Source organism: Homo sapiens, chromosome 21 (assembly GCF_000001405.40).
Source record: "Homo sapiens chromosome 21, GRCh38.p14 Primary Assembly".
Taxonomy (NCBI): domain Eukaryota; kingdom Metazoa; phylum Chordata; class Mammalia; order Primates; family Hominidae; genus Homo; species Homo sapiens.
Genome location: NC_000021.9, coordinates 7,630,470 through 7,645,924, shown reverse-complemented (window position 1 = coordinate 7,645,924; position 15,455 = coordinate 7,630,470). Strand labels below are relative to the sequence as shown.

Here is a 15,455-nt window from a genome sequence, read left to right as displayed (position 1 = left end):
GCTTTGCCCATAGGAGAGATTGTGACATAATTCTGAGCCCTGAAAATAGGGGATATTTCTTTTGTTTTCTGCTTGAGCCCCACATTGTGATGTATTTCTCCTCCCAACAACTGAGGGAAGGGAAAGTCCTGCCTGGGTCTTGCCTATGGGGAGCCTTGTGAAATCTTTCCGTGTTCATCACCTTAAATATGTGACCCTCATCTTCTGCCATGGCCATGTTTACAGAAGGGAGAGTGGGTTATTCCTAGACCCAGCACACAGGTCATGTGATTCTGCATCCTGGTGTCTCCAGAGGGGTCATTTTGACATATCTCTAGACTCATCAACTAGATAATGTAATGCTCCTCTTCCCCCTGAAACCTATCCATAGTGGAGATTGTGAAATACAGCCTGGCACAGCACCTACATGATGGTACTCTCTTCTCATGCTTGGGTGCTGGCCACAGGGGTGATTAAGACTTATAGCTGGGTACAGTCTTCAGGTGATGTAACTCTCCTCTATTTTTGGGCCCACACACACAGGGAACTACCATATAGCTCTGCTCCTCAGTCTTAGGTGATGTGACTCTGCTGTCTGTTACCTCCTCTTAGGGGGAATTGTGATATATTGCTGGGCCCAGAACCGAGGTGATGTGGCCTTTTCTCTTGCCTGGGCCCTGCATACATGGTGTACAGTAACATATATCTGGGTTGAACACATAGGTGATGTGACTCTTCTGCATAGGTCTTGCCAACAGGGGTATTATGACATACTCTTCTATTCATTGCCTAGGCGATGTGACTCTCCACTCTTACCTGGGCCCTTCCAAAAGAGGGGATTGTGACATATCACTGACCCTAACACCAAGGTAATGTGACTGTTCTCTTTTGCCTGGGTTTGCATATTTTGGGTATTGTGACATATCCCTGGGCCCAACACTTAGGGAATAAGAGGTTTATTCCTCTACCTTACGTGCAGTGAAGCTTGTGACATATTTCTGCATTCATCACCAAGAAGATGTGACTCTTCTGCCTGCATCCTGACCACAGAGAGGATTGTGAAATATTGCTAGATCCAGCATGCAGGTGATGTGTCTCTGCTGCCTCGTTCCTAATGTGAGGAGTGGATTGCAACATACCAATGCCTGAACATTCAGGTAATGTGACTGTTGACTGGTCCCTGTCCTCAGGGAAGCGACATATCACTGACCCAGCATCCAACTGATTTTACTCTCCTGCTCTCTTCCTATATGCAGGTGTAATTGTTACATATATCTTGGAACACAACACACAGGTGCAATGATGACATTCATATGTCAAACCAGCCAATAGAAGAGATACTGCTTCTCCTAGCTACACTTAGGGAAATGAAAAAAAACCCTGGGTCTCCTCGCTAAGATCATCCACTCTCTCATATATTACAGAAAGTCCTCAGGTGGTAGAGAGTCTTATCACAGGGCCCAGCACACAGGTGAAATTTGTTACTCCTATGCGCACCCTGAACCCTCCTGACCATTATGATTTTCACCCTCACATATAAACAGAACCCACTGGTGAGGTCCTGAATTTCACACATGAATGCAGTTTATAGTTGGAATTGCGAATCTCATATGTAAAGATCTGGCCAGAGTTGGAATGGGAACTTCGTTATAAACCCAGCGCATAGAAAGCTGATGACTCTCTTATCTGGACCCCGCCAATTGTAAAGATGTTGACTCATATATAGGCTTAGGGCCACAGGTTTGATCATGGGTCCATACCAGCATGAAAATCTCTGAAAGAATTGAGACTGTCATGCATACAACATAAAGCCGTCAGGTGCAACACAGAAAGTCCTAATAGGGCTCAGCACACAGTAATATAATGACATTGGGATGCACACCCAGCCAACATTAAAGATTGTCGTTCTTTCACATGATCATAGTTCACTTTTGAGGCTCTGAATCCCATACCCAAAGGCAGATTGAAAAGTTGAAAAATTGACTCTCATATTTGAGAGTCACAGATGTGTTGATGACTCTCAGATCATGAGTCAGCACACCTAGGAAGCTGTGATTTCAATTAGGGGACAAAGTACGCAAGAGAAAATGGGGCTGCCATGCACAAATTTAGTCCACTATTGAGATAGTGACTTGTGTACTTAGATCAAACATACAGAAGGTGTTCACTCTCATGCATAAAACCAGAATATGTGCGGGATTCATCCCATATCTGGACTTTCCTGCAGGTGTCATTGTGACAAGCATACACATTTGTCCAGCACCTGAGTGATTAGACTCTTCTGTTTAAGCCCAGCTCACAAATAAAATTGGGACATATCATTGGACCTAGAACATAGGTGATGTGGCTCTATTCTCTTGACTTCGTGCTGCCCACAGGGAGCATTGTAACGTATCACTGAACTTAACACCTAGGAGATTAGAGGCTCCTGCCTGAACTCTGTCCACAGTGAGCCTTGTAGCATATTTCTGCTTCCAACACCAGATGATGTGACTCTCCTTTCTGCCTGCACCTTGCCCACAGGAAAGATTCTGACATATCACTGGGCCCAGTAATCAGTAATCAGGTGATGTTTCTCTCCTGCTATGGCCTTGCCCACAGGGAGTGTGGTGACATATCACTGAGCTCAATATTCAGGTGATTTGACTCTGCTGCTTGTACTCTGATTTCAGGAGGGGATTGTAACATATCCCCTGTGAGCACACAAGTGATGGGACTCCCCTCCTAGCCTCTGACCTCAGAAAACATTGTTACATATCCCTGGCCCAGCCTTAGGTATGTGACTCTCCTACCTGTTCCCTGCCATCAGGGAAGATATTGACAGATCTCAGGCCAAGCATCCCGGTGACGTGACTCTCCTGCTCACTCCCTTCCCACAGAAGAGATTGAAACATATATCTTGGCCAGCTCACAGGTGTAATAATGACTCTCATACCTCAAACCTGCCACTAAGAGAAATACTGTTTTTCATAGGGAGGCTTTGGAAAACCGGTAGGTCTTAACTCTTCGTTTTGTATGAAGGTCTTAGAGGAATACAACTCTCTCATATTATATAAAGCTCTTAAATGGTACAAAGAGTGTTATCACAGGGATATGTTGCATAACCTATGGGAGGGGCCCAGTTATATGTCACAATTAACCCAGGGGGCAGGGCACAGGCATGAAAAGAGAGTCACACCACATATGTGCTGGCCTAAGTGATACATCATCATCCCCACTGTGGACAGGTCGCAGTAAGAACAGGAGAGTCACATCATTCTAATAATGGTCTCAGAGATACATCACAATGACTCCCCTGGGCAGAAACAAGGGATAAGGTTCACATCACCTGTGGGCTAGGCCCAGAGATGTCACTCTTACTTCTGTGGGCATGTCTCAGGCTGGAGAGGAGAATCACATTACCTAAGCACTGGACCAAGAAATACTTCACAATCTTTCTCATGGCGAAAGCCCAGGTAAGAGAATAGAGCCATATCAAATAGTTCATGGGCTCAGAGATATGTCACAATGCTCCCTGTGGGCAGGGTTCAGGTAGGACAATCACATTACCTTGGTGCTTGTTCAGCAATATATCCCAAAGCCTTCTGAGGGCAGAGCCAAGATAAAAGAGTAAAATCATTTTGGTGTTTTACAAATCGATATGTCACAATCTCCCCCGAGGGCAGAACCTGAAAAAAGGGAAGAGTCACATTAGCTAAATGCTGCGCCGGGTGATAAGTCACAATTCACCCTGTAGGCAGAGACTAGACAGAAGATAGAGTCACATCATCTAGTGGCTGGTGCAGAGATATGCCACCATGCCCTCTCTAGGCAGAGTTCAGACAGGAGAGTTATGTCACCTGTGTTTTGGACCCAGAAATATGTCACAAAAGCCCATGGACAGAGCACAGGAAAGACAGGCACATAACCTGAATATCAGCTTCAGTGGTATGACCCAATGCCTCCTGTGAGCGTTCCAAGGCAGGAGAGGAGACTCACATTACCTGTGTGCAAGGCCCAGTGATACGTCACACGGAGGAGTACCACTGTCTTGCATATTGTGTAAACTATGGTAGAGAAATTGTCACCACAGGGCTCGCCACACTGGTGAGATTATACTTCTCAGATGCACACCACACCAATATTCAGGATGGTCTCTATCACACGTGGAGAGAGCCCACTCTTGAGGTCCTGAATTACACATGCAGACACAGTCCACAACTGGGATTGTGACTTTCATATGTGAACATCCAGCCACAGGTGGGATGGTGACTCATTTTTAAACGCAGCTCATAGGCAGTTAAGAACTCTTATTTGGACCCATCCAAGTAGAAAGATGTTGACTGTCATACCAGGGCTTAAAGCTAAAGGTACAAGGAGGGGTCCGTGCCTGCTTAAGGTTTCAGAGAGAATTGTTACACTCATGCATACTCTATAAAGGCTGCATATGGTGAAGAGAGTGTCCTGACAGGGCCCAGAACAAAAGTAGATTGTGACACTCATATCTACGCTGAGCCAAGAGTAAAAATTGTCATCTTTTCACATGAACACAGCCCATTGTTGAGGTTCCAAATCTCACACCTGGAGGCGGTTGAGAGATGAATAATTGACTCTCATAAGTGGATGCGATCCATGTTTGAGTCAGTGACTCTAAAACCAACATTCAGCAAACACGTGAGGCTGTGACTCCATTAAGGGGCCACGGTCCTCGGGAAAGACTGAAGCTGCCATGCACAGATCCAGTGCACCATTGAGACTGTGACTTCTACACTTAGACCCAACAAACACAATGTGTTTGCTCTCACACCTAGATATGGGACATGTGCAGGATTGTCAGTCTCAGCCCTGGACTTTCCTGGAGGTATAACTGTGAAATATATCTCGGCCCAGCTCGTGAGTGACTTGACTCTTCTGCGTAGCCCAGCCCATGATAAAATTGTGACATTATTGAACCCAGCACCTATGACCCCCCTCTTCTGCCTGGGTCCTGTCAAAAAGAGAGATTGTAACAAATCACTGGGACAAGCACCCACATGATGTGACTCTCCTCTTTTCCCTGGGCCCTGCATATTTTGTATATTGTGACATACTGCTGGGCATAATACCTAGGGAATTGATGGCTACTGCCTGAGCCCTGTTCACAGGGGGCCTTGGGACATCTCTCTGCATTCACCACCTAAAAAAAGTGTGTGCACCCTGCCTACAAAGAAGATTGTAGCAGATCACTTGTCTTAGCAACCAAGTGATGCGAGTCTCCTGTCCTGCCTTGGTGCTGCTCACAGGGGACATTATAACATATACTTGGTGCTGCACCCATGTTTTGTAATTTTTCTGCCAGGGGTCTACCATATAAGCTATATTGCTGGGTCCAACACCCAGGTTATGCAGCTCTCCTTTCTGTGCTCTGCCTACAGGGGACATTGTGACTTATCTCTGCACCCATCACTCAGGTGATGTGACTTGCTTCTGCTGACTGATTCCTGTTCAAGTGGAGATTGTGACATATCAATGGTGGCACCATCTAGCTGATGTAACTATTCTCTTCTGCCTAGGTTCTTCCTGCAGTGGAAATTGTGATGTATCACTGGGCTTAACACCAAAGTGACATTAATTTTTTGCCTTGGTTCTTCCCTCAGAAGACATTGTAATATATTGCTGGGCTCAGCACCAAAACGATGTGGATTTCCTGTCTGGACCCTGCATACAGGAGTCCCTGTGACATATCTCTTGACTCATCAACTATTTGATGTGACTCTCCTCTGTTCCCTGAGCTTTGCCTATAGGAAAGCGTCAGCCTGGACTCCAGAGTCAGCCACCCACCCCTGCACAGACAAGGAGAGGTCTCATTAAGCTTCAGCACAGTCTGGGACCATAGCTTTTTTTGTAACGATTTGTTCGGCATGAGGCCCACTCACAAGGGCCCTTCGTGACTGGACTCAAGGAAAACGAAAAGGCCTACTTGTTTTTGCGATTTTCTGTTGTTTTTCAATAACTATTTCTCAGAAACAGTGCTGGATGAATTCCACAAGGGGTTCACACAACCTGTTCCAGGACTTAGTGACCATTGTTTCTGTCCATGTTCATTGAGTTCAAATTTAATATTTAACTTTTCCTCCTCATTCAGCCTCAATTTGACACTGAATCATAGGAAAATATTTTTACAGTTATACGGGGAAGTCACAACTGGTATAGATTACAGATAGAGCAGAGGAGAATTAAAAGCACAATTAATAGAAACCACACCCACCACGGCCAACGCCAATGCTAGTTTGACAGCCAGTCCATGATGGGGTCCTGATGGTTAGATTCTAACTGTTTTACTTGTCCTTGCATGTCTTCGGCAAGGAGAGTAATACTGCGAGAACTGTCAGGGATACACACAACATTCAGAATGCAGCAAGACTCAAACCCCTCCTTGGGCTGCGGTAAACATACCTAATGCCATTCGATTTTGCAACACAACAGTACACAGCTGAACAAGTTCTTCTGATAACAACAGAAGTCCAGTGCTACTATCTTAGGAGCTTTTACTATATGTGGACTTAATATTTTAATTTGTTGCTGAAGCAGGATTGTACGAGGGGCAAGGGAGAATACTGTGATAGTTTTCCACCACCAGGGAGTCTGGCACGTTCATAACCAGCTACCTTTGTAAGCATCTAGATTATTGGGGAAGGGAATATTATCCCGGATGGTGAATGGAATTAATGGCACCCCCAAGTGAATCTCCCCATCCAATAAGGGGGCAGATAGGCCACCCATAGGGTCTGCATACCCAGAGGGCCCCCCAGGGGACAGCAATGGTTATACTACAATTATAGTGTATTAAGATGTTATTAAAGTAGCAAAGGAAGTCCAGGTTGGATTGCAAGTGTTGTTGTTTTGGCCCCATTTGTAGTGACAGAGCCATTCAGAAATATTGGCAAGGACAACTCTGCAAGGCAGTCCATTTCCTGTGGCCTCTGGCAATTTGATGCATAGCCAGCATTGACTGCGGTTAGCTTCTGTCGCAGTGGTTGCTGCCCAGTTGATGAATTCACTCTCCACCTCAGACCTGATGACCCAGGTACTGATTACTAGTAGACAGGTTATTCTCTGTAACAACAAAACTGAAGGGGAACATAATATTGTTTTTCATTTTTAGGAAACTGTACTACCCTTTTATTTTCTGCTCCCATACCTACAAGGTCACAGCCTTAGGGGCGGGATCTGATGGAGGCTGTATCCATATTTTCGTTCCAGGATTTAAGCTACCTATACCAGTGGATCTTAATTTCCCAGTTCTGTACGTAGCCTCTGTTGGGGCAGAGATTTCCTCAGGGGTTAATTGTTAACAAGGTACCAGGTACCACTGACAATTGAGCAACCCGAATCTGCGGTCTTGTAACAAAAGAATGTGGAGTGGTATTGTGTAAAGTGAACTTTAACTGTTCCTGGTAATCATTATCAATTATACCACCATACATTATAATGTGTCTCATCGCCAGGCTTGAATGTGTTGTAATCCATTCACCCACATTCAAGTTTGCATTTATGCTGGAAATTTTGGCCTGTTGATCTACCTGCTGTTTAGTCTGTCAAGAGAATGCAGAGATGCATGAGAATCAATATGAAAAACAGCAATAATAGTAATGTGCATCAGGATTCAGGTATCTTCCTAGTATTGTTTTCTCCAAACCTCTTTATTCATTATTCACTATTTGTTTCATTGCCATTCGGGCAACTAGGTAGTAAGACCATTTTCTGCTGACCAACAGTCGGTATACAAGCAACAAATTGCTCTGGCCTCCTCCTGAATAGTTCGGAGGATGGCTTCTAGTTCAGCCAGCTGGCTGCTCACACCCCTCCCTTCATCAGAAACGCTTATGTTTTTAACAGGATTATAAGCCACGGCCTCCCAGCATCAGGTCCCATCAATGTATTTGGTGGAACTATCAGTAACCAAGCGTGTTTCTGATCCTCTGGGCTTAGTTCTTTAAAGGATTTGCCCCATTGGGCAGGGGAGGTTTCCTTCCCTATATGCAGGACTTGCCCTGTGGTTTCCTGAGTTGGCAAGTTTTGCACATCTTCAAGTAAAAATGATACCGCTTTTAGTTCTGGCTTATCCTGGTCTTGTATGTACCATTTCCATTTTATGATACTACATTCTTGAGTGTACCCTATCCAATGGGTTTTGAGGGAGCTCATGACCCAAGTCATAATAGGAATTTGGGGCCTCATAAAAACATCATGATTAAAACAAAGGTGTTCTGCTTCCTTCAAGCGCAGTAGAAGGCCAACAGCTGCTTCTCAAAGAGTATAAGCTTTGCCAGCCTCTGGCAGCTTCTGGGTCTAAAACTCCAAAGGTATCTTCTTCCCATCTTGTTTCTACCTAAGGCTCCAATTAGCATGTTGATGTAGGACAGTTACTTGCAGTTCTGTTGACTCATCCTATAAGGGCCATAGATCCAGGGCCAGTTGCTCAGCTTGTTTTGCTTGTTGAAAAGCCAGGCTGTCTTTCTCTCTCCAGTGATATTCATAGTGTTTTCTAGTGACTGCATGCAGAGGTTGTAATATGTTACCCAAGTGGGGAATATGATGTCTCCAGAATCCAAACAAGCCAATACAATTTTGGACCTCCTTTTCAGTGGTAGGGCTGCAAATTCTAGTATTTTAGCGTTAGCCTTTGGTAAAATGGACTGTTTCCCTGCAGTCCATAGGATGCCAAGGAACTTTACACTTTGTGCAGGCCATTGAATTTTATTAGAGTTAACTTCCCATCCTTGAGATAGGATTTGGGTTTTTACCCTCTTCTGCCCTGAAAACTGACTAGTTATTCAGTTTTACCCTGACTGGGCAACTCGGACAGCTGCTTTTTCAGCAATAGGCTGATAGCTTTGAGCCTGATCAGTCAAGACAGGCCTGGCATGGTACCAGGGTCAGTCTGGAAGTCAGATTAAAATTTTCCTTTTCCAGCTTACATTTCTCTTGTAACAACCAGTCCCTACATTGACACTTTAACTTATAAGAAGTAAGCAAGCATCATCAATGCTGGGAAATTCCCTCAGCATTACAATTACCAACTGGGACTCCCTGCTGCACCTCACGCACAGCCAGTGATTCAAACAAACTTTATCCCACTTAAATGGCAATGCAGATATAATAAGCAAATATATAAGCAAGTTGCAATGGGACGGGGAGAAGGGAAAAGATATATATATATATTTAAACTCACCAAACTATGGAGGATTCACCACAAGACTGTGAAGCAACAGCCTGGGCTCCAGATTGGCCACTCATCCGTCCACAGACAACGTGAGATCTCATGAAGCTTTGGCGCAGTCTGGAACCCCAGCTCTTTTTGTAATGAGTTATTTGGCATGAAGTCCGGTCAGGAAGGCTATTCACAACGGGGCTCAAGGAACACAAAAAGGTCAACTTGTTTTTTTGATTGTCTATTGTTTTTCAATAACTAAGATATAGGAATAAATTGAAATAGAGATTTATCTGAAACAGCGCTGGATGAGGGCTTCAAGGGGCTCACACAACCTGTTCCGGGACTTGGTGACCATTGTTTGAGTCCATGTCCAATTTAGTTCAAATTTAATATTTACCTTTTACTCCAAAAAGTGTCAAAAGTAATTCCTTCAAATGCAGGAAATTATGTAGCTACTCACAAACTAAACTTCTCAAACAAAAGTCATAAATAGAGTACAGAGATAAAAAATAAAATAAAATCTAACTACATCTGTCTACAGGGGATTCAATTTATTTATTTATTTATTTATTTTAGAGACATGGTATTGCTTTGTTTCCCAGGCTGGTCTCAAACTTCTGGGCTCAAGTTAACCTCCCACCTCAATCTCCTAAAATGCTCGGATGACAGATATGAGCCATCTTACTATATAGTAACAAAAACAGACTAAAAGTGGCAAGATGCATCAAAACAATTTTATGCAAATCGTAATGAAATGAAGACAACGTCACGAGCACATTATGCAAAATACTTTTTAAATAACTGTCTTAGTTTATAAAATAAATTATAAGTTAAAACTGTCAAAGAAAACAAAGGACAAAATAATAAAAAAGTTTATTCACTGGAAACCTAGGAAAATTATATACATTTATATAATATACATTTATATAATTGTGTGTATTTATCTAATTATGTATACAGACACACATATATATGAACCTCACATGAAGATTTTAAAATAAATCAATAATATTTTGTCAGAACATAAACAAAAAACTGCAATATACTGAGAACAATATTTTAATACACCAGTTCTGTAATTAATAATAAAGCCAGAGAGAATGTTAAGAAGAAAACAGAGGACATGAAAATACTGTAAAACAGTTAGATGTAACAGATGCATAGAGATCACTCTACACAACAACAAAACTCACAGTCTTGTCAAAAGCTCATAAAACATTGTCCTAAAAATAAATATAAGGAAAAAAATTTTTTAACAGAATTAAAAAAAATTGAATGTTACAGAAAACACTTCAAAAAATCAATCAACCCAGGAGCCGGTTTTTTGAAAAGATTAACAAAATAGATAGACCACTAGTAAGACAAATAAAGGAGAAAAGAGAGAAGAATCAAAGAGACGCAATAAAAAACGACAAAGGGGATATCACCACGAAACCCACAGAAATACAAACTACCATCAGAGAATACTATAAACACCTCTACGGAAATAAAGTGGAAAACCTAGAAGAAATTGATAAATTCCTGGAAACATCCACACCTCCAAGACTAAACGAGGAAGAAGTTGAATCTCTGAGTAGACCAATAGCAGGTTCTGAAATTGAGGCAATAATTAATAGCTTATGAACCAAAAAAAGTCCATGACCAGACGAATTCACAACGGAATTCTACCAGAGGTACAAAGAGGAGCTGCTACCATCCCTTCTGAAACTATTCGAATCAAGAGAAAAAGAGGGAATCTTCCTTAACTCATTTTATGAGGTCAGCATCATCCTGATACCAAAGCCTGGCAGAAGCACAACAAAAAAACAATATCCCTGATGAACATCAATGCAAACATCCTCAATAAAATGCTGACAAACCAAATCCAGCAGCACATCCAAAAGCTTACCCACCACGATCAATTCAGCTTCATCCCTGGGATGCAAGCCTGGTTCAACATATGCAAATCAATAAACATAATTCATCACATAAACAGAACCAATGACAAAAATCTCATGACTATCTCAATAGATGCAGAAAAGGCCTTCAACAAAACTCAACAGCCTTTCATGATAAAAACTCTAAATAAACTAGGTATTGATGGAACACATCTGAAAATAATAAGAGCTATTTATGACAAACCCACAGCCAATATCATGCAGAATGGGCAAAACCTGGAAGCATTCCCTTTGAAAACCAGCACAAGACAACGATGCCCTCTCTCACCACTCCCACTCAACATAGTATTGGAAGTTCTGGCCAGGGCCATCAGGCAAGAGAAAGAAATAAAGGACATTCGATTAGGAAAAAGAGGAAGCCAAATTGTCTCTGTTTGCAGATGACATGATTGTATATTTAGAAAACCCCATTGTCTCAGCCCAAAATCTCCTTAAATCTGATAAGCAACTTCAGCAAAGTCTCAGGATACAAAATAATGTGCAAAAATCACAAGTATTTCCATACACCAATAACAGATGAACAGAGAGCCAAATTATGAGTGAACTCCCACTCAACAATTGCTACAAAGAGAATAAAATACCTAGGAATCCAACTTACAAGGGATGTGAAGGACATTTTCAAGGAGAACTACAAACCACTGCTCCATGAAATAAAAGCGGACACAAACAAATGGAAGAACATTCCATGCTCCTGGAAAGGAAGAATCAATATCATGAAAATGACCATGCTGCCCAAGATAACTTACAGATTCAATGCTATCCCCATCAAGCTACCACTGACTTTCTTCACAGAATTGGAAAAAACTACTTTGAAGTTCACATGGAACCAAAAAACAGCCTGCATAGGCAAGAAAATCCTACACAAAAAGAGAAAAGCTGCAGGTATCACACTACCTGACTTCAATCTATACTACAGGTCTACAGTAACAAAAACAGCATGGTACTGGTACCAAAACAGATATATAGAGCAATGGAAAAAAACAGAGGCCTCAGAAATACCATCACACATCTACAACCATTGGATCTTCGACAAATGTGACAAAAACAAACAATGGGGAAAGGATTTCTTATTTAATAAATGTTGCTGGGAAAAATGGCGAGCCATATGCAGAAAACTGAAACTGGATTTCTTCCTTACACCCTATACATAAATTGACTCAAGATGGATTAAAGACTTAAATGTAAGACCCAAAACCATAAAAACCTAAGAGAAAACCTGGGCAATACCATTCAGGACATAGGCATGGGCAAAGACTTCATGACTAAAACACCAAAAACAATGGCAACAAAAGCCAAAATAGACAAATGAAATCTAATTAAACTTAAAAGCTTCTACACAGCAAACGAAACTATCATTAGAGTGAACAGGCAACCTACAGAATGGGAGAAAATTTTTGCAATCTACCCATCTGACAAAGGACTCACATCCAGAATCTACAAAGAATTTAAACAAATTTACAAGAAAAAAACGAGCAATCCCATCAAAAAGTGGGCAAAGGATATGAACAGACACTTCTCAAAAGAAGACATTTATGTAACCAACAGACATGAAAAATTGCTCATCATCACTGGTCATCAGAGAAATGCAAATGAAAACCACAATGAGATACCATCTTACGCTAGTTAGAATGGGGATCATTAAAATGTCAGGAAACAACAGATGCTGGAGAGGACGTGGAAAAACAAAAACGCTTTTACACTGTGGGTTGGAGTGTAAATTAGTTCAAACACTGTGGAAGACAGTGTGGTAATTCCTCAAGTATCTACAACCAGAAATACCATTTGACCCAGCAATCCCATTACTGGGTATATATCCAAAGGATTATGAATCATGCTACTATAAAAACACATGCACACGTATGTTTATTGTGGCACTGTTCAGAATAGCAAAGTCTTGGAACCAACCCAAATGTCCATCAATGATAGACTGGATTAAGAAATTGTGACACATATACCCCATGGAATACTACGCAGCCTTAAAAAAGGATGAGTTCATGTCATTTGCAGGGACATGGATGAAGCTGGAAACCATCATTCTCAGCAAACTATCACAAGGACAGAAAAACAAACACTGCATGTTTTCACTCATAGGTAGGAGTTAAACAATGAGAACATGTGGACACAGGACAGGGAACATCAAACGCTAGTGCCTGTTTGGGGGTGGGGGGCTATGAAAGGGATAGCATTAGGAGAACACTTAATGTAAATGTTGAGTTGATGGGTGCAGCAAACCAACATAACACATGTATACCTGTATAACAAACCTGTACGTTCTGCACATGTATCCTAGAACTTAAAGTATAATAAAAACTGAAGGCTACAGACTATAATTTCTGACCAAAATGGATTAAAACTAGAAATCAATAACCGAAGAAAATTCATAAAATTCACAAATACATGATAATTAAACAATTTATTCTTCAACATGTTTTTGTTCAAGAGTTAAAAATTTAATATTTTGAACGTGTCTATAATGCCCAAAGTGAGCTGCAGATTTAATACAATCCCTATGAAATTCTTAATATTATTTTTGACAGAAACAGAGAATGTGACTCCCCAAAGTATACGGAATTTCAGGGGACCACATAAAAAAAGTTGGAAGCATTACAATTCCTGATTTCAAGACATGTTAGAAATCTACAGTAATCAAAATCTTATGTTACTAGCATAAAGACAGACAATTAGACTAATAAAAAAATCTTTGCCACTGCTGCAGACAGTGCCTGCATCATCCTGCAGACTGACAATGATCATTTTGCTGCTGATGACTTTAAAGTGTGAGACAGACCTGGCCATGTGCCAGTTTGTGGAGTGCGACATTACTGATAACACCAGTGTCAGTCAGCCTCTGCTGGAGACAGAGATGGAGGCCCTCAAGGAAGAGCTGCTCTTCATGAAGAATCATGAGGAGGAAGTTAAAGGTCTATAATACCTGATTTCCAGCTCTTGGTTGACCATGGAGGTAGATGTCCCCAAGTCTCAGGACCTTGGCAAGATCATGACAGGCATCTGGGCCCAATATGACGAGATGGCTGAGAACAGCTGAGAGGAGCTGGACAAGTACTGGTCCCAGCAGACTGAGGAGAGCACCAGAGTAGTCACCATGCAGTCCGCTGAGATCGGAGCTGCTGAGAGGATGCTCAGGGGGTTGAGATGTACAGTCCAGTCCTTGGATATCGAACTGGACTCAATGAGATATCTGAAAGTCAGCTTGGAGAACAGCCTAAGGGAGGTAGACGCAGATGGAGCAGCTCAACAGGATCCTGCTGCACCTGGAGTCAGAGCTATCCCAAAACCGGGAAGAGAGGTACCACGCCCAAGAGCACGAGGACCTGTGGAACATCAAGGTCGAGCTGGAGGCTGAGATTGCCACTTACTGCCGCCTGCTAGAAGACGGGGAGGATTTCAATCTCCTGGATGCTCTGGACAGCAGTAAATACCTGCAAGCTATCCAAAAGAACAGCCCCCGCAGGATAGTGGACGGGAAAGTGGTGTCTGAGACCAACAATACAGACTTTTTGTTGTGCTAAGCCATCAGAAGCAAGGTCCCTTTGGGGAGCAGGAGGCCAGTAAAAAGTTCAGAGGTAAAAAAAAATTAACTTCAAATCACAGAAGTGTTTCCTTCAACACAAAAGTAATATAGATTCATTAATATATAGAAGTGGAAATTAAGACAATTTCCACAACTACTCACCCAGAGAGGATTAAAAAAATAATTGACCACCAACTAATTAAACAAATACACAAGTCATAAATAAAGTATGAGTAATGTTTATACAAGCAAATGAACAGAGAATTATGTTGGCAATAGACGTGTGGTTGATTCATATTTGACTGATTCATATTCAACTGTACACAGTTGAATATAGTCATACAAAATTATAATATATAGGCAGAATCTAAAAACACAATTAAATAATGTAAGGCAGCCTATCCTAACAAGGAAATACAAGAATATATAATATTAGAAAATAAAATTAAATAAACATTAGCCTGTGAAATACCGAATAAACAAAGCATGCAACGGAAGAAGACTCTTTCCAGATAACTAGCATGTTCAACCATAACTGGGCTCCCATAAAGAGCAGATTTTGAATTCTTAGCATATGGTTAGAGTAACAAAATTGCACAACAAATACATTATAATCTCCCATAAAGAGCATTTAGAAGAAAATTTTAATAAAGATTTCAATGATATTAGAGACACTTTTTATTATGTTCTTAATATATTACTCCTCTTTTTATACAAATGGAAAGGCTATAATTTATTTATTTTTTTTAATTTTTTGAGATGGAGTCTCGCTTTGTCACCCAAGCTGGAGTGTAGTGGCGAGACCTCGGCTCACTGCAACCTCCACCTCCCT

General features: G+C 41.6%; 1 pseudogene; it reads left to right on the top strand.

The window, feature by feature from the left end:
* The window catches only part of CTBP2P9 (CTBP2 pseudogene 9), a 44,659-nt pseudogene that overhangs the window by 21,464 nt on the left and 7,740 nt on the right, over positions 1 to 15,455 (top strand).